Raw genomic sequence first — 20580 nt, forward strand, 5'->3', positions numbered from 1 at the left:
TCCTCTTGAGCTGATCTCATTTTAAATGAGAATGGTATTGGTCCAATATAGAGTTAAAACAAAAATTCTCACATGTGAAATTCTTGGATATTGATCAGAATAAAAACAAAATGAGGTTCAAATGGAAGCAATAGGGTAGTGGTCTGGTTATAACTCTCAGGTATAGGTACAAAGTCATTTAGATACATATATTTATCAGAGAGATATTACCTTGGACACTCCAGCTTTCTATTTATTTCTACAGCCATAAGATCCTTATTGTATCATTTCTTACCCTCTGCTGCAGATGCTGTATATATGACTGAGTAGATTGGCTCACTGAACATCTTTTCTAAACATTGCCATTATTACTTTTTTCTAATGCAAGTGTTGGAAATCAATGTACTCAAATTCCCTTGCAGATGGAATTTTATTCTGGCCAGTAAGATGTAGGTGCAATTTCTTGGGAGGACTTCCTTAGTGCACTGAAAAAGTAAAAGCTTGAGGAAAAGGTTCTGTCTTTCTCATTTTGCTCTTCCCATTTCTTTCTGCCTGGAACTTAGAATTACTGCCTGGAGTTGCAGCAATCATCTTTTGACCATGAAGTTAAAAATTACACACTGAAAGTGGCAGTCCAGGAGACAGAAGACAGGCTTTTAAATGACATTCTTGCATAGGTGCATTAGCCCTGACCTATCTACCTCTAGATTCTTTTTTGCATGAGAAAAATACATCTTTAGGCGACTATTTTCAGTTATCCATTCTTTGTAACAAATAACATTTGTAAGCATAAGCGATACAACCTATTTGCAACAAACTAAAAAGTTGTATGGGGATATCTGTCATTTTAATTTTTAATGTATGCTTTCTTCATTGTGCTTCCAATATATCAAACTCTCTTGGTATTTCTCCTGCATTACAGGTTGTTTTTTTCTCAGTTGCTTTGCTGATCCTTTTTTTCCTGGCCTCTATTCATGTTAGAGTGCCCCAGGTCTCTAGGTTAGGTGCTGCAGACTCTCTAAGAGTCTTGTTTGTTTGTTTTTTTGGTCTCATCTAACTTCAGGGCTTCAAATACTATCTATATGCTGGCAGATCCTAAATGTATATTTGTAACCCAGGCCTCTCTCTCTCTCTCTCTCTCGCTATCTCGTTGTGTGTCCAACTGCCTACTCAACATCTTCATTTGAATGTCAAATAGTTGATCTATCTATCTATCTATCTATCTATCTATCTATCTATCTATCTATTATCTATCTGTTATCTATCTATCTATCAGCTATATATATCTGTTTTAGAGATGGGGTCTCACTACATTGCCCAGGCTGGACTCAAAGAGATCCTGTGCTCAAGAGATCATCCTACTTCAGTTTCCCAGTAGCTGGGACTGCAGGCATGCCAGGATATAAAGTAGCTGATCTCTTACCTTCAAAACAATTTCCATCACTTGAGCCCAGGAGTTTGAGACCAGCCTGGGCAATGTGGCAGAACCCTGTCTCTACTAAAAATGCAAAAAATTAGCAAGACATAGTGGCCCATGCCTGCAGTCCCAGCTACTCAGGGGACTGAGGTGGGAGAATCACCTGAGCCCAGGAAGTCGAGGCTGCAGTGAGCTGTGATCATGCCACTGCACTCCAGCCTGGGCGACTAGAGTGAGACCCTGTCTCAAAACAAAACAAAACAAACAAAAAACTTAACTTCCAAGCCAGATGCGATGACTCACACCTGTAATCCCAGCACTTTGGGAGGCTGAGGCAGGCTGACCATGAGGTTAAGAGTTTGAGACCAGCCTGACTAACATGGTGAAACCTCATCTCTACTAAATACAAATATTAACTGGGCATGATGGTGCGCACCTGTAATCCCAGCTACGCAGGAGGCTGAGGCAGGAGAATCTCTTGAATCCAGGAGGCGGAAGTTGCAGTGAGCCGAGATTGTGCCATTGCACTCCAGCCTGGGTGACAGAGCGAGACCCCATCTCAAAAAACAAACAAACAAAAAAACCAAAAAAACAAAAAACTTAACTTCTTCCTTCTCTCAAGCTTGATCCACCATCAGTGTCCATCATCTCAGTTGATGGCAACTCTAATTTTCCAGTTGCTCATGCCCCAAATCTTGGAGTCATCCTTGGCAATCCTCTTTCTCACGTTCTGTGTCTAATCTGCCAAGATTCTGGTTCTCCCTTAAGCATACCTGAAATCTATTCAGAATCTGACCGCTCTCACTCTCTCTAGTGCTGCCACCCTGGGCCATGCCATCATGACCTTTCACCTGTATGACTGCAGTAGGCTCCTCAAAAGTCTCCCCACTTTGCTGTTTTCCCTCCCACAACAGACTATTTTCAAAGCAGCAGCTAGAGGAATCCTTTTAAAATGAAGTCATGATCACTCTTCTGCTCAAAACCGTGCAATGTCTTTTCGTCTTACACTTATCAAGGCCTGTCACGATCTGGCCTTCGTCACCTCTTCAAAGTTCTCTTCCGTTCTCTTTGTTCACTTCCTTCCAACCTCACGGGCCTCATTGCAGTTTCTAGAGCACAACAAGAACACACCCCTGTCATGGCCTTTGAACTGGCTGTTCCCTTTGTATGGAATGCTCTTTCCCTAGTTATCTTTGGATAATCCTCTCACTTCCTTAAAGTATCTCCTTAATTTCATCTTTTCCAAGAGGCCGACTTTGACAGTCCTATTTAACCTTGCCATCGGCACCATCCCACCATGTCCACCTCTATGCTGCCCCCATCCCCAGCACATCCCATCCCACCTACCCTGCTCAACTTTCTCTTTCTTCCCCTACAACGTATAATCTTCTAACTTACTGTATAGTTTATTGACGTGCTTTTGGTTATTTTCTGCCTCCCCTTCTAGAATGTAAACTATGTGATGACAGAATTTGCATGTTTTGTTCACTGATACATCCCTGGTGCCTGGAACAGTGCTGGTTCAGAGTAAGTGCTCAGTAAATATTTGTTGCAGGATTGAATAAATTACCCATTCACAGAAGGATTTATGGGGGAGCTTCGGGGCAGCAGACTAACTGAGAAACCAACACTCAAATCTGGCAACTCCTGAAGCCAGATTGAATGTTGACCCCGAAGTTCCTTCCCATGTGCATCAACTCAGAATGCTTACAACATAATGACTGTGGCCGTCTCTAGTGAAAAAAGAACAACAGTCTTGAGAGTGACTGTATGGGAAGCTTTTAGTAGGGACACAGCTGAAAAGCACCCTTTGCAGTTAAATAGAGCTTTTCTTGAATCTGGAAAAACCAAACACTCCACAGAATGCACTCATTTGCCATCAGACTTATGGGAATAATTGTATCCCAGATTTAAAAAAAAACCCAGAGTTTTACTGGCAACCTGTCCAAGCCTGGAGTGAGTGAGGCTAAAGGAAGAACTAGATATAGGGAAATTTTTTACCCCAAGCACTACTGGAATTAAGTACGTGGGTGATCTTGGGTGGTGGCTACTTTCATAAAAGGTGTTTTTGTAGAACTTGTGAATTTCTCAGAAACACTGACTTGTACCTCACTGAGGCTGAGAGTTTGTTCTACTTCTGGTCTGAATAAGCAAATGTTTAGTTTCAGTTCCTCTTCAAATTCAGGACTGTCGTTAGATTTCTATGAAAGCTACTTGGCAAAGGACCCAGTCCATCCATAGAGGCCTGCTTCAGCGTGGAGTACAGCATACAATAGTGTGTATTTAGACTATGCTACAGCTGAGGGCTAGCCACTTGATAGAGCTCCTCTATGTTAATGGTGTTAGAATGGAAATTCTTTATCCTTGTAGCTGTACCATAGGGTGGGGACCAGGGACACTCAACAGAGTTGGGAGTCCATGTGCCTCCTTAAATTTTGCACCTCAGGCATCTCACATGCCTCATTCTGGTTGTGATCCTGCTGCAATCTGTTCTCACTCTGAACCACATGGAGTTAGCATTAAATGCTATGGGAAATCTAGAAATTTTCTCATGCTGAGTTCCTTTAAAGAGAGTCACCATCTTGGTTCTGATACTCTCTGACTGGTATTGGACAAGCCTTTCTTTGTTAGCAACTTGAAACTGTGGGAGGCTCTCTGTAGAATTACTGTTATGTTTTGGAATAACAAGAACAGCATTTTGCTGCTGGAAAAGGCCATTTTCCTTCTGTCTGCTTTTTTTCATGTATTGCCTTTCTTTTCTTTCTAAAACATCTTTTGTTTCATTTTTGTTCTCAAATCATTGTGTTTAGAACAACAATAATTGAGAGTCTAGCGGGAAGTTTTTATAAACTAACAATTGGGTTTAAACAAAGGCTTAATAGTCAAGTTCTGAATAGTTGGACTCCTGAAAAGTTCTAGCTAGAATGATCATAAATATAACATTTAAAAAAATACACAGGGGGAGTCCTTTTTACTAATTTTTCTCTTTTAAGTGAAGAGTTTTGTATGCATTAGGTAAGACCAACCAATCCTGTTTCTCATAGCTCTATATCTGTTGCTTGGTCAGATCACAGTGAATTTACCTGGGTTATAGGATGCCCTGCATCTGGACAGGGGTGATGCTTCATGAACATGAATTCATTGACAATATTGTGCCTGTAAGAAGCTGAGTTTGCTGGGAAAAAGGCACTAGCAGATCACATTCTTGAGAGTTAGTGATAATAATGAACATGATTATAATGTGCAAAGACTTTTATAACTTTTCTTTTTTTTTAAGAGATGGGGGCCGGGTGTGGCAGCTCACACCTGTAATCCCAGCACTTTGGGAGGCCAAGGCGGGTGGATCACTAGGACAGGAGTTTGAGGCCAGCCTGGCCACTATGGTGAAACTCCATCTCTACTAAAAATACCAAAGTTAGTCGGGCATGGTGGTGCACGCCTGTAGTCCCAGCTACTCAGGAGGCTGAGGCAGAAGAATTGCTTGAATTTGGGAGACGGAGGTTGCAGTGAGCCGAGATCATACTACTGCACTCCAGCCTGGGTGACAGAGTGAGACTCTGTCTCAAAAAAAAAAAAAAAAAGAGATGGGGGTCTCTTCATGTTGACCAGGCTGGTCTCAAACTCCTGGTCTTAAGTGATCCTTTCATTTTGGCCTTCCAAAGTGCTGAGATTACAGGCATGAGCCACCACACCCGTCCTGTTATCATATATTTTAAATAAGCCTCATGACAATCACATAAATTTTTTTTATTACTCATATATTTTAGGTGAGCAAAAGAAAATTCAAAGGTAGTAACATAGCTAGAATTACAAAGGAAGAGGTGTGATTTGTGCTCATGTCTTAATTTTTAAAGCAAATTGAGGCCGGGCATGGTGGGTCAAGCCTGTAATCCCAATGCTTTGGGAGGCTGAGGCAGGAGGATCGCTTGAGGTCAGGAGTTCCAGACCAGCCTGAGCTGGTGAGACCCCCGTGTCTACAAAAAAAAAAAAAAAAAAAAATTAGCTAGTCTTGGTGTTGGTGCACACCTGTACTTCCAGCTACTTAGAAGGTTGAGGCAAGAGGAGCGTTTGAGCCCAGGAGGTTGAGGCTGCAGTGAGCTGTGATAGCACGACTGCATTTCAGCATAGGTGACAGATTGAGACCTTGTCTATAAAAACAAGATAAATAAAAGGAATTGAGTGGTATCACACAGAAGTTAATGCCATTGAAAGATTTTTACTACATTTCCCAAGAGGAGAAGGCATGTCATGTGACACAGGGTCACATGGGGAAGCATAAGAGGTCAAGAGGCAGAAGGGGAAAGCATAGGCCACAGCCTGGACTGGGATTTCTGCAGGAAAGGCAAGGCGGGACAGGGTAAACAGTGTAGGACTGGCTAGTCTACATCCTTCTAGCAGGCTTTGGGGCATTGGGACATTCTCTAGTCACCTGGTGCCTAGCCCTTGGGTGTGTGAGTTTGATAGGGGAGGTGATTTGGGGTACGGACTGAGGACTGGTTGGAAGGTCTGTAAATGATTTTCATGCACCTGTGGAAGCTGGATTTCTGGGGAGATGTTAACAACTTTGGCCATTAGTTTGGCCCTCTGATTAATGGATGCTACATAGAAATGGATGCCAAATAGAAAACAGAACAAAGTAGCATCAGGGCAGGAGCCTTACTCCAGAGGCAAAGCTCTTTCCATGAAACCATCTAAACTCATCCAGTTCTCCTCTTCCAATCTCTCCACCCCTTACCGTACTCCACACATCCTGTTTGCAGTATCAGTTCTTGACGATCCCAGCCACTGAGTTGTTTTAGTTGGAAATCTGGCCATTTGCTAAGCCCTTCAGTTCTCATCACACATGTCTCTTCCAGTTCTCATCACACATGTCTCTTCAAGCTCTCCTTTTCTGTCTTTATGCCTCCACGCTTGCCTTGGGTCAGCGTCTCCTGACCCAAGTCAGTCTTGACGTCACAGTCTCCTAATCCATATTCTCCCCCCAGCCCAACCAAGCTGCACCCTGTTTCCAGGACGATCTTTTGTAAATAATAGGTTTGATCGTGTCACCTCCTTACTTACATCCTACCTACCTCCCTATTGCCTTAAAATTTCCCAGCAGAACACAAAGGGCCCTTCATGAGCCGACCTTTGCCTACTTCCTGGCTGTCTATCCTACAGAACTGTGGTATTGTGTCCATTGATTTACCTGAGCACAGATTTTATGAAATGTTTGGAGAACGGGGGAGACAGAGAGAGATTCTTAACCCAACTGGTTCTCTTACAGAATGAGCTTCACTGGTGTTCAGAAAATTGATGCATTGCTAGTTTCTTTTTGGCTACTGTGAACTTTTTTTTTGAAAGGTATATGAGATTCTTGTGCCTAGAAGAGGGATTCTAATGCATTTGAGGTATCGGTTTCTTAGGGTTCAAACCTCTTGCAGCTAAGAGCAGGCCCTGGAAGAGGCACCGGGCTGCAGATTGTTTCAAGTACCACAAGGGGCTGCTAGAGAGCAACAGAAGCGCCAAAGAAATTTCTTCAAAATTTCCCCTTTTTGTCACATCCTCATTTCCTTAGTCTTGGTCGGAAGTAAAATGCTTTCCTCTTTTTGGAGTTTATATTAGTGGCTACAGCTCGGTCACAGGTTATCCATACCTGTCTACCTGTAATAAATTTCTGTGTACCAATCCCTCAAAGTGCTCATCTGCCTACTCGGCTGTTTGGAGGGACTCCTGATACGCCTTCCCATGCCTCAGCTTCTTGAATGCCATTTAGAGGAGCAACGTGAGTGCATGTATCTACCAGGGGACTTGCTAATGCATTAGCATCTCAGTGTCAATTGCCAAAGGATGCCTCTTAAGGGGGACAAATTGTAAAAAGTGCTGCTGCCTCCAGGCGGAACTGGCCCTACCCCCAGGTAGCCTTTGGGCAGAAAGACCAGGTTGGATTTTGGCCTTCACATACCTCCTTTGTCAGGCAACCTGGAGACCAACTTCTAGAAGAATTAGTGGACTAACAGGAACTGAGAATCACGTTTATATATATATATATTATATATATAATATAAAATATATATAAAATATAATATATATAAAATATAAAAAATATATATAAAATATAAAAAAATATATATATAAATAAAATTTTCTGGAAATTTTGCAAGCAAACTTTGTACAGAATGTGAATTCCAAGCAGTTGAGATACCTGCACTTTCTAAATTGTCTGAAATAAACTTTGCAATTATTCAATTATAGTTGTTAGGTCTTAATCACATTGAGCACAGTTTTTGTACTTGCTTTCAGTATATGGAATTGACATGCCCTTGTGATTTCAAAGATGCAGTTGCTAATAGACTCCCAAGGGGAGAGACTTGGGACGTTCTGCTTTGGTTGTTGCACTCCCAGTTCAAGACATTGAAAGAAATGTGGAAAATTTCCCTGATGATATAAGACAGAACATTTTCTTCTTTCATGCAGCAACCCGACCTGCATTATCCTTTCTTGCGTATTCCTATATAGTCTCTTGAATTCACTGTCATGTTTGATTATTGTATGAATGATCTATCAGATTAAGTTTGACTGCATAAATCACAAAATCCAAATATCAGTGGCTTATACAATGCAGAAGCTTATTTTTTATTTCATGTCAAAGAAACCTGGAAGTCACCCAGACTGGTAGGGTAACTTCACAGTCATCAGAGACCCAGAAACTATCTTTCTGCTCATTTCCCCACCCTTAGTGTGTAGCTTCCATCCTCAAGTTTACTTCATGGTCCAAGAGGGCCAATGAAGCCCCAGCCATTAGGCCCAAGTCCCAGGGAGGAAATAAAGAAAAATAGAAGAGCCAAAGGTTATATGCCTCCTTGCTGAGTCAGCCCCCCTTAGGACACTTTTTAAAAGTCTCATTCAACAATTTCCATTTTTACCCCACTAGCCATTTTTATCTGCAAAGGATGCCGGGAGGCATAGTTTTCTAGCTGGGCACATTGAGACCTTTGACAATAGAGGAGTCTGTTGTCAAGGCAGAGGAGAGAATAGGTATGGGGTAAGCAACCATAGCCTCTACCACATATGAGAATTTAATTATCTGATGCCCATGAAAATGCAGACTAGAAAACAAAATGCAGGAAGAGTTACCACACAGAGTTGCTGCGTTGCCCTAGACAGTCATGGCAGCCTAGCCACTGGCCTGTCGGTGGACTCCCTCAGGCTCCTCTTACCTGGACCCGCCCCGTTCATTTACCATTCACACTCTCTCTATTTCCAGCACTGCCCTCTCTCAGGCTCCAGACTTGCATAGCAATTACTGACCATATGGCTCCTCACAGGACACTAAATTCAAGATGCTCCCAAATGAGCCAGGAACTGCTCCTCTTAGTACCTGTGCATCAGCTGCCCAAACCGCACACCTGGGTGTTATCCCTGACTCCTTCTTCTGACTCATACACTTTACAAGTTCTTCCTGAATTACTCCCGGATCCTCCCCATCCTCCTCATTTCCAGGACTGCCACCAAGATCAAGCCTGCATCACCTCTCACCTGGACTGCCGCTGCAGCCTCTTGACGGGCCTTGCCTTCTTTATTCTTCCCTCTGGCCAATCCATTCTCCACACAGCAGCCAGAGAAATTCATTTTTTTAAAAAAAAAAACAAACCTGATTATGTCACTGCATGGCTTACTACTCATCAATGGCTTCTTACTACCCTTAGAGAAAAGCCCAGCCCAGTAAGGACTGAAGGCCCTGTGTGATCTGGCCCCTGCCCCCTCACTCCATGCCCTTCTCCCCTTCGCTCTGGCCCAGCCACAGTGATTTTCTTTCCCTCTTGCTAATGAGCTAATCCCTTCCCTGCCTCGGGCCTTGGCATACACAGTTCTGTCTGCCTGGCACTCATTTTCCTCAGATTCCCACCTCTTTGTTTAGTGCATTAAACAAAGCATTTTTTGAGGCATTAAATTCATATACCCCCAAACCATGCCAGGTTGCTGGAGACTCTCATAGCTCACTGCCCTTGTGCTTTGAAGCATTCCTCAGCCTTCTAATTACTTGCTCCACTGTCAGATCCTTGAGGCCAGGCCTCCTCTCTCTGTTCCTCTCTGGACCCCTTGTACCCAACACAGCACTGAACACCTATTCATTCAGTGATCCAGCCCTTCATTCATTCACTCATTCACTCAAAGACATTTGTTGTCATTTCTGTCCCCATTTCTGGTTTGGTAGTGGAAAAAGACTTAGTGAAATAATTGCCCAAATAGTTTATTTGTTAGAGTTAAAATCAGGCCTGCAAGCAGAAAGAGAAGGCATTATGAACGATGTAAACAAGACATAGGAGGTGCGAGGAGAACGGAAGATGGATTTTCTATCAAGAACAAGAATGGGAAGATTTTCTGCCATCTTGACTCTAATTCTTATCTCCATTTTCACCCTGAACCTTACACTAGACCAAGTTACATAAACCCAGTGTGAGACAAGTTTAGTTGAAATATTCTTTTAACCAATTAATTGCCATTAGTGCTGCCTCCTTGGAGCTTCTGACTTCAGAAAAATAATCCAGGAACGTTCTGCCACTAATTCTTCTACCTTGCCCGCCACCATTTTTCTGATTATTTTTCTACTCTCAGACACTCTCTCCATCATAGGCTGGCTCTGCTCGTCTTGGAGCCTGTGTAGAACAGGACTCCATGTGCCAAGCTAAATCTGCTCCGCTTCATCATCGCTTAGGCTGCCAAATTGGGTCAATATAGTTTTAGAATGTAAAAATATATTTCTATTCAGTATATATATTATATATATATTTATGTGTTCCAGTATATATATACTGAAGTACATATTTATATGTTCCAGTATATATATATATGTATATATATACATATATATATACTGAAATATATATATGAAATTTATAAATTGTATTTATACATACATAAGGAAAGAATAGAAACACCAAGGAAGGCCTGAGGGCAGCTTTGATGAAGATTATGGGATGGTTAACCACCAACTCTTCTCTTCCCCAGTCATCCTGGACAATTGGCCATTGCTTTCAGCCTATTAACACCCTCAAGATGCACTGAACATATGTTGACAGTCAAGCACTGATGTGTCTTAGAGCATCAGGTGGTAAACAATGATGAGTTTCCTGGCTGGAATTTGGAGGTCAGAGACTATTCTGGGGTCCCTAATCTTCAAACACCCAGATTTCTTGTGGGCCAATCTGTCCTCCACCTGCCTTGTCCACGAAGGAGTAGAGAGTGGATGAAGAAGCCGGATTCTTCACGTGAAATCTCTGAGCCTGGGGCATGGGAGAGCCCACCCAGGCTCAGGCCTCAGCCCAGGCATCTTACCTGCCTAAGTGGTAATCCCTGAACAGGAAGACCTTTTGGAGAATTCTTTACCTCCTGTCCAAAGTGGCAAGTTGGCCACAAGGGGGAAGCATCACACAAAGATAGTGCTCTGGCCGACCTGCTCTTTGCTCTGACTTTCCTATTGTTATCTGGGCCAGGAAGGCAGGTGAGGAGGGCCCACTGCCGAAGGCTGTGGTTCAGCTGAGACCATGCCCACCTGATGTCTTGAATATGGCCATGAAGCCAATGAACACTCGATGAATAGTAATCGACATGTGATGAATATTCAGGATTTAATTTATTAATGAAATTAAGCAGAGCCCTGGAAAAGATAAGCGTAGGTGGCAAAATTCTTAGATCTGAAGATTCATCATATGCTGAAAACTGGGAATTGAACAATCTGGTTCCAACATGGGCCCTGCAATGCAGTCACTGGTCGTGGGCTTTTCAGGCCATCTTTTGGCCTCGTCTGTCATTCCCCTTTCTGTCTTTATTACAGTGCTGCTGTGAGGATGAAGCAAGAGAATATGAAACTGGTGATGAGGTATTGCAAATGTACAAGACCTACAACTCAGGCAAGCAAAAAAAATGCAGCGCAGCTGATCATTACTGTAGATGGTCATGACCTTCCTGAGGTGGGGGTGCGTGTGTGTGTGTGAGAGAGATTCAGCCTGGCATAATTTAGTTTAAATCTTAGGTCAACTTAATAATCGAAATAGCCTTTTAAAGCTAGGGTGCCAACCTTCCTGTTTGTCAGGACTTTTCCAGTTTTGATACCCCGGAGTCCTGGGCCCTGGAACCTCCATCAGTCCGAGGAAAACCAAAACTCAACTCAAGTCTCCTCAGGCTCTCTGATCCCCTCCCCATCTTTATTTATTCTCCAAAAAGGCTCTGGGTATAATTGTGGAAGGCCGTGGCTCCCAGACTCTCAGCAGGAAAGAAGAGCCCAGACCTTTGGGTCTCTGTGCAAAACTCTGAACCCTTTCTGCCTCTCTTGAGGGTGGCAGGACTGGCTTTGCAGACTTGGTGGGCTCCCATGCTGGGGCCCACTGCTAGAGTCTGCGGCTTTTGCTCTTTATCTCAGTCTCCACTGACTCCATCCCCTTAACTCTGCTCTCTGGCCAGGCCAGCAGCCCTCATGCCCACCAGGGCCACTCCCTCTGCCTGTGCACTTCCCAGTCATCTGCTCGCCATGGGGAGGACTTGAGCAGCTGGAAGTGCTGCCTTTGACTCATTTGATCATCCATCTCCACAACAATGCCTATCACTGCTCTTGTCCCATTACAAGCTGCTGTGGCAGACAAGGGCTTTTCCCAAAGGCTTGCGGCCTCCCCAGAATGACTCGGAACACGAGCACTAGCAACATGTCTCCAGCCTTCCTCACACATCAACTGGGTACCAGTGACGGCTTGTCCTGGGCAGAACTTGAAGATGACCACCAGGATTCCAGGCCCTTGGTGCACACACCTTCTCCCAGTATTCAAACACTCACCTAGGTGCTGTGTGTGGTGAAGGGCTTTTGCAGATGTGATTAAAATCCCAAATCAGTTGATCTTAAAAGAGGGAGATTACCCAGGTGGTACAGACCCACTCACATGAGCCCTTTAAATACGTGTTCAGAGGTCAGGGACAGATAAGTCAGAGAGATTGGAAGTGTGAAACAGCCAGAAGGAGAGGCCACATGGCAAGGAGCTGAGGGCATCCTCTAGCATTCGAGAGCCATCCTTGTACAAAAGCTAGCAAGACATCAGTCCCACAACTGCCAGGAAAGGAATTCCGGAATTCTGCTAACAGCTGGAACATACTTGAAAGTGAACCTTTCTCTAGTTGGTCCACCAGATAGAAACACAGCCTCTTTTTTTTTATTATTTATTTTTTATTGATCATTCTTGGGTGTTTCTCACAGAGGGGGATTTGGCAGGGTCATAGGACAATAGTGGAGGGAAGGTCAGCAGATAAACAAGTGAACAAAGGTCTCTGGTTTTCCTAGGCAGAGGACCCTGCGGCCTTCCGCAGTGTTTGTGTCCCTGGGTACTTGAGATTAGGGAGTGGCGACGACTCTTAACGAGCATGCTGCCTTCAAACATCTGTTTAACAAAGCACATCTTGCACCGCCCTTAATCCATTTAACCCTGAGTGGACACAGCACATGTTTCAGAGAGCACAGGGCTGGGGGCAAGGTCACAGATCAACAGGATCCCAAGGCAGAAGAATTTTTCTTAGTATAGAACAAAATGAAAAGTCTCCCATGTCTACCTCTTTCTACACAGACACGGCAACCATCCGATTTCTCAATCTTTTCCTCACCTTTCCCCCCTTTCTATTCCACAAAGCCGCGATTGTCATCCTGGCCCGTTCTCAATGAGCTGTTGGGTACACCTCCCGGACGGGGCGGCTGGCCGGGCAGAGGGGCTCCTCACTTCCCAGTAGGGGCGGCTGGGCATAGGCGCCCCTCACCTCCCGGATGGGGCGGCTGGCCGGGCGGGGGGCTGACCCCCCCACCTCCCTCCCGGACAGGGCGGCTGGCTGGGCGGGGGGCTGACCCCCCCACCTCCCTCCCGGACGGGGCGGCTGGCCGGGCGGGGGCCTGACCCCTCCACCTCCCTCCCGGACGGGGCGGCTGGCCGGGCGGGGGGCTGACCCCCCCACCTCCCTCCTGGACGGGGCGGCTGGCCGGGCGGGGGGCTGACCCCCCCAACTCCCTCCCGGACGGGGTGGCTGCCGGGCGGAGATGCTCCTCACTTCCCAGACGGGGTGGCTGCCGGGCGGAGAGGCTCCTCACTTCTCAGATGGGGCAGCTACTGGGCGGAGGGGCTCCTCACTTCTCAGACGGGGCAGTTGCCAGGCATAGGGTCTCCTCACTTCTCAGACGGGGTGGCCGGGCAGAGATGCTCCTCACCTCCCGGTCGCGGCCGGGCAGAGGCGCTCCTCACATCCCAGATGGGGCGGCGGGGCAGAGGCGCTCCCCACATCTCAGACGATGGGCGGCTGGGCAGAGACGCTCTTCACTTCCTAGATGGGATGGCGGCTGGGAAGAGGCGCTCCTCACTTCCTAGATGGGATGGCGGCCGGACGGAGAGGCTCCTCACTTTCCAGACTGGGCAGCCAGGCAGAGGGGCTCCTCACATCCCAGACGATGGGCGGCCAGGCAGAGACACTCCTCACTTCCCAGACGGGGTGGCGGCCGGGCAGAGGATGCAATCTTGGCACTTTGGGAGGCCAAGGCAGGCGGCTGGGAGGTGGAGGTTGTAGGGAGCTGACATCACGCCACTGCACTCCAGCCGGGGCACCATTGAGCACTGAGTGAACGAGACTCCGTCTGCAATCCCGGCACCTCGGGAGGCCGAGGCTGGCAGATCACTCGCGGTTAGGAGCTGGAGACCGGCCAACACAGCGAAACCCCGTCTCCACCAAAAAAATACGAAAACCAGTCAGGCGTGGCAGCGCGTGCCTGCAATCGCAGGCACTCGGCAGGCTGAGGCAGGAGAATCAGGCAGGGAGGTTGCAGTGAGCCGAGATGGCAGCAGTACAGTCCAGCTTCGGCTCGGCATGAGAGGGAGACCGTGGAAACAGAGGGAGAGGGAGACCGTGGGGAGACAGGAGAGGGAGAGGGAGACCGTGGGGAGACGGGAGAGGGAGAGGGAGAGGGAGAGAAAACACAGCCTCTTGACACCTTCTTCTGCCTTCTTCCCTCGGCTGAGGGCCCACCTAAAACATGCAGTCTCCTGACCCATGGAAACTGTGAGATAATAAATATGTGTCATGTTAAGCCACTAAGTTTATGATAATTTTCTACATGGTACAGAAAACAAATTCATTGCCCCTTCTTTGCGTAGATGGGAAGAGGAACCACCTTTACATATTCCTTTCTCCCCAACTCCTTTCTCCCTTCTCCTTCCCTACAATCCTTCCAATTGGACAGGCAGACTTTTCCTTCCTTAGTACAGCCAGACCTGTGGCCTTACTGCCATGTGGGAAGGAGTCTTTTCTCAACAATTCCAAAGATGTACATGATTTGAGACCTCCAGGTGTAAAATGACTGTGCTCTGAATACCCTAGCATGATTTGGAATTGAAGATAACTGAGGATTAATATGGTGGTTTGCCATTCCCCAAATACTATCCCCCTTACACGTTATGAAGATGCAGATGTTATATATGATTACAGCAAATGCTGCAAGTGGTGGTCTGAACAAGGAGCAAAACAAGTTTTACTCCTTGACATTTTCTGAGTAGATGCTCAAACTTACTAATCCAAATTTATTTATTTCACTAATATTGTCTATTCCAAATTAATTTATTTCACAAATATTGTCTCAACTTTCTGTTACTGGTTGTCAACATAGACTTAGTATTGGCAAATCATCTACTCATATTTGTGAAATGTGTGTCCATTACCAGGGGCCACTAGGCTATGTGTTAAGGCCAGTTAGAAGCCACAAGAATCAAAGCAACACTTTAAACTGGAGGGTCAATTTTATTTGAAGATTGTTAGAAAAAGCTAAGTACTTTTGATTTGTAATTCATTTTATTATTTTTTTGAGCTGGGATCTTGCTCTGTTGCCCAGGCTACAGTACAGTGGCATGATCACGGCTCAATGCAGCCTCAACCTCCCAGGCTCAAGCAACCATCTCACATCAGCCTCTTGAATAGCTAGGATCACAGGCACACCACCACACCTGGCTAATTTTTTTTTTTTGAATTTTTTTTTTTTTTGTAGAAACACGGTCTCACTGTGTTGCTCAGGCTGGTCTTGAACTCCTGGGCTCAAGCGATTCTCCACCTCTGCCTCCCAAAGTGCTGGGATTACAGGTGTGAGTCACCACTCCTGGCTCAATTTGTCATTTAAAGCTTATTTGTAACATTTAAAAGGAACAGTGATCGGTTGTGGAGGTGAATGGGATCATGCATGAAATTTCGAGACAAAACAAGTGTTTTCAGAGAATTTATAGGCTTGATTTAGCCTGTGCCACAGAACTCAGGGGCCATGTGACCACTCCCTTCTATCATTGGCAATCCATTTGGGGATTAGAAGACCATTACCTAATCACATGTAGAAAATGGATAGGGGAGAGAGAAAGGAGGAAGAGGTATCAGGGTTTATGAGAAGAATCCAAAAATTGGTGGTGTTAGGGGTCTACTCCCATGGTAGGAGCACCAAAGACCCAAGGCTGGTTGGGTTAAAGTCATAGAATCATAGCACATTTGAACTAGAAAGCTTTAGTTAGTCAGTTTTTAGATGTGTAAATGGTACTATGTTTTTATTTGTACATTATTTTCACATATTCAACTAGAGGTACAGTCCCTCAAGGAGGACTGGGATTTTTATAGTTGGGATATGAAGAGAATTAAGAAGTCAATGTTAAGATTTTGACAACCAGAATTCACTCTCAATGCCCATTTCAGGAATAGTAGTTGGGAAAGCCACACATTGAATTGCAAGAGCCAGACACTTGAGAGAAAAAATAGCATATTTTTCAAATTCCCAAAGCTTTTCTTTAAATATTTAGTAACAGAGCTTGGAGGACCAAGCATAAATTTTTTACTATAAACCAAAAAGCTAGAAGAATGTAGGATATGACAAATTCAATTTCCTGCCACACAGGAAGGCAATTTTAAACTTTCTGAAGTGGGAAGAAGAGCTTGGAGGGAGAGGAGAGGAGAGAGCAAGAAAAGGCAAATGACCCTGGGAGAAGGTGAGCATTGGACACTCCCTAGGCAGGTTTGAGGGTGAGAGGAGAGAGGAAATGTCTATGCCATACCCTGACTGAAACTCTGTGGGGATGGAGCTCATCAAACACCCTGGGCCTATGCAATAAGATAATTAAGTTAACATTTAAAATCTTGTGTGATCTTTCAGCCCTGAATTCTGTGATGATAAATCTTCCTACGAAGATTGGATGCATATTTTGGAAATCTAGAATACTGGCTTTACTGAAAATTTTTTTGAGTTTCTTCTGATTGTGAAATGTTTGTCACATTGGGGTTATGAGCACTGCAGAGAGGTGTGAGGTAGTGATCAGTATTCCTCTGCTCACAGCCCCTTTTTCTACTGTGGGCTGAGGGTGGGTCATCAGCTTTCACAGATGACCTCTGTGAAATTCTGTGAGAACTCTGACAGCATGAGCTGTTGGGTTTCCTTCTTCGTGCTTATAAAGTAATTAGGAAGAAAAACCAGTGACCAGTGGAAGACAATCCCAAAGGGGAGACCCATATGAACTGCCGGTAATTGCCTCATCTTATACTTCATTTTTAAAATGGGTTTTATTGCAATATAATCCACATACCATACAATTCAACCAAGGGTACAGTTCAATGGTTTTTAGTATATTCATAGATGTGCAGTTATCACAACTTTAGAACATTTTCATAACACCCAGAGGGAGCCCCGTAATGCTTTAGCTATAATTTTTTTCCTCTCCTTGACCCACCTCCCCCAACCCTAGGCAACTAATAATCTACTTTATTTGCTTAAATTGAATTAAATTTATTTATTTAATTATTTTATTTATTTTATTTTTTTAGAAACAGGGTCTTCCTCTGTTGCCCAGGCTGGAGTGCAGTGGTGCAATCACAGCTCCCTGTAGCTTCAAACTCCTGGGCTCAAGTGATCCTTTTGCCTCAGCCTCCTGAGCAGCTAGGACTCCAGTGCCATGCCACCATGCCCAGCTAATTTTAAAAAATATTATAGAGATGGGGTCTTGCTATATTGCCCAGGCTAGCCTCAGGCTCCTTGGCTCAAGCAATCCTTTCACGTTGGCATCTCAAAGCACTGGGATTATAGGTATGAGACATTATGCCTGGCCTACTTTCTATCTCTATAGATTTTTCTGTTCTGGACATTTTATACTTAGGAATCATATAATATGCAGCCTTTTGTGACTGGATTCTTTCACTTAGCATAATATTTCAATGTTGTAGCATCCATCAGAACTTTATTCCTTTTTATGGACAAATAATATTCCATTGTATAAATATGGCACATCTTGTTTATCCATTTATCAGATATGAACATTTGGATTGTTTCCTCCTATACTACATTTTGTGTGTCCCCTAGCATCTGAGGTTTTACTACTAAGCTCCTAACAATGAGACCTACTTCCCTTTTCTGAAAACATAGGTGGACTAAGAAACCCTGTTCCCTCTGGAATTCAGACAAATCAAATTATATATGTGTTGAGTGACACTTGAGGTAATGCCAAAGACAGAGGCTTAGAGAGTACCTTGCAGTGGTTTGTAATGATGGTGATCCAGGCAGAACCTGAGAGGTTCAGGGTCTGACATTCCCTCAAAGGTGATCAGGCTCAGGAGGCCTGACTCACATCAAACTCAACTGAAACCCCAACCTAAACCCAAACCACCTTAGAAACCAGGAAGCTAATTTATAATTTTATAATATTTCCAAACAGACCTGGAGGCCAGAGTTGGCTGATTTACATATGACCTTCCTGTAGGGAAGAGTACAGGAGATGTCAGGTTACTATCAGATAATTGCCTTGCAGTGCAGGCATAAGGGACCGGATAACTTTAAAGAATTGACATTTAAGCCATAACAGTTGGACATGCTTCCATATATGCCTGATAAGCTTTCTTCTGGTCATGACACTGCTTCTCAATAGTACTGGATAAACACTGACCACCTCTTGCCATTTTCACCATCTCCTTCTTCTCATTCCAAGTTGAGCACTAGCCTTTTATGTATGCTGAAATTTTAGAACACAATTATTTAGAACAGTAATTTCCAAAAACATTTTGGGGAGTGCTAATCCCATATATATTTATTTATAAATTATATACATGCACTAAAATTTATTTGTATATTAATTTATATGTTCAATGAAAGTTTATTTCTATAAATATTTATTTTTTCCAAAGTCAACTAAAGATGGATATTTCTATAAATAAATAAATAAGTAAATAAATAGTCTTGTTCCCCCCATTTAACGATCTCTGTTTTGGATTTTGTTGTTGTTGCTGTTCTTGCATTAAATCCATCTCAGGTCTACAGTTCTATTTTAACCATCTGATCTTTTGGTTGGGTTTACTTTCATTTGTACCAGCCTTAGAAGCCCATCTTTTAAGGGAGGTTATTTAGAAGAGGGCAGAAGGGCTACCTCATCTGTTTTATATTGATTCCGTTAGTTTCAATTTTAGCTGAGGTGACATTTTTTGTTCATCTCCCGAGATTCCAGAGAGAAGCCCACTGCAGCCTTCTAAGCACTGACTGAAACCTTGCAGGGGAGTTATATTACGGACTTAGGCTTCTCTGAGAAGAGAAATGGTAGGAGATGAGTGTCTGGAGTGGGTGGGGAGAGTTACTTCTAGCCTAGCAGAAATGTGGGTTAATGGCACCAAGATGGTGAAATTGGGGGTAGTAAAAGAACATGAGAATTGGCAAGAATGATGGAGAGCCAATGCTCATTAGCAGTTAGCCTGTTGGAAGTAGGCACTGTGTTCTGCCTTTGAACTACACTCAGTAATGGACTGTGGAGATGCTCAGAGAAATTGAAGTGAAGCTGGATCCCCTAGAGCACAGAACATGATGGTTCCAGAAAATTATCTGGTCATAAATGAGAGACACCAGTAAATTAGAATTTGGGTACTCTAGAGGGAAGAGTTTTGGCTTAAAAAAAGAATGAGTTGGGTTTCCGATGAAAAGGAACCTGCTTCCTGGGAGACCAATGTTGCTAAATGAGAGAATTCTACCCTTGGACGGTTTTTAAAGTTGCAAATTGGAATAACCTGGGAAGCCATAAAAATGCTGGTGCCTGAGTCTCAGTCCTAGACTTTCTGATTTCATCCATTTGAGACGAGGTTTGGCCACTGAGATTAAAACAACCACATACAGAAAACCTCCAGATGATTCTAATGTGCAGCCAAGGTTGGGAACCATTGCACTAGAGGATGGAAGAATGGAGTGGCCTAAGGAAATTAGAGGAGGAAGCTTGGGGAGGAAGTGGAGGGACCTGAACAGCCTAAGTAATCCTAGAAGGCTGAACCTCAGAGCCTTTGTGACTTCATCCGCCTCACTCCCATAGACACTGGAGAAGGGATTCACAAAGAAAAGGAAACAGGAAAAGCCTGGGATTTCTACTGCATGTCAGGAAAGTGACCATGAAACTGAGTCGTGGAGCCTTCTGTTTAGGAGCTGACCTCCGTCTTGGTTGCAACTGCAGGTGTTACTCAATAATTCCCTTGCAAGCCCAGTGCTGGAAGCAGCAAAAGTCCTCCATAATTGGTGTCTCTTATTGGGTCCGTTGCCTTCTCTCCCTTCTCTGCACCAAGCCCCCCACCCCCACCCTAGCCTCTGTGTACAGGGAGCCCTCCAGCCCAACCATGGATTTCTCTTCAATTCTACCATTTTCCAGGCATGAGAAGGAAGGGGAGGGAATGACTTCCTTTGGCCTAGAAATATCTGGGAGAATATGCTATACGGTCCTTGAGCAGACACAAAAGAGAATATTCTGGAGCTGCATTTTCCAAAGTATGTTTCTTAGATGCTGGATCCTCAAGGTGTTCCTCCCTGTGTCCGCGCAAGCTTGGGAAATGCAGCAGGCTTCCGCGCCCTCGTTGAGATTCACACTGCCTGTGAGTAGAGTAAATGCTTTGAGATCTGGAGAAAGAAACCTGTTTGTTTTTCTTTAACCCTCACATCCCCAACTCATCTGGCCATGGAATTGTTTTTTTCTGCTTAACACATTAACATCTTGCCTCTTTCTCATGACACTTTTGGGAAACTGCCTCAGAAGCTACAATCAGTGGCTTCATTCACAAAGGACAAAGAAGGCAGCTGCATCCTGCACACATGAAACGGGGCAAGAACTCCAGTTAGGCCCTGGCCTCTCTTGGTAATTGTGCCCTTTTTC

The 20580-nt window shown here is 44.4% G+C and overlaps 2 annotated features.

Annotated features, from left to right (window-relative positions):
* Positions 12522-13179: an enhancer, noted in NCBI's record as "NANOG-H3K27ac hESC enhancer chr4:55190909-55191566 (GRCh37/hg19 assembly coordinates)". NCBI's record gives its function as "activates a minimal SCP1, AML or CMV promoter by ChIP-STARR-seq in primed H9 embryonic stem cells {active_cell/tissue: H9 hESC(primed)}" and the evidence as "EXISTENCE:reporter gene assay evidence [ECO:0000049][PMID:30033119]".
* Positions 13180-13837: an enhancer, noted in NCBI's record as "H3K27ac hESC enhancer chr4:55191567-55192224 (GRCh37/hg19 assembly coordinates)". NCBI's record gives its function as "activates a minimal SCP1, AML or CMV promoter by ChIP-STARR-seq in naive H9 embryonic stem cells {active_cell/tissue: H9 hESC(naive)}" and the evidence as "EXISTENCE:reporter gene assay evidence [ECO:0000049][PMID:30033119]".

This window comes from Homo sapiens, chromosome 4 (assembly GCF_000001405.40).
Source record: "Homo sapiens chromosome 4, GRCh38.p14 Primary Assembly".
NCBI classification, from domain to species: Eukaryota; Metazoa; Chordata; class Mammalia; order Primates; family Hominidae; genus Homo; species Homo sapiens.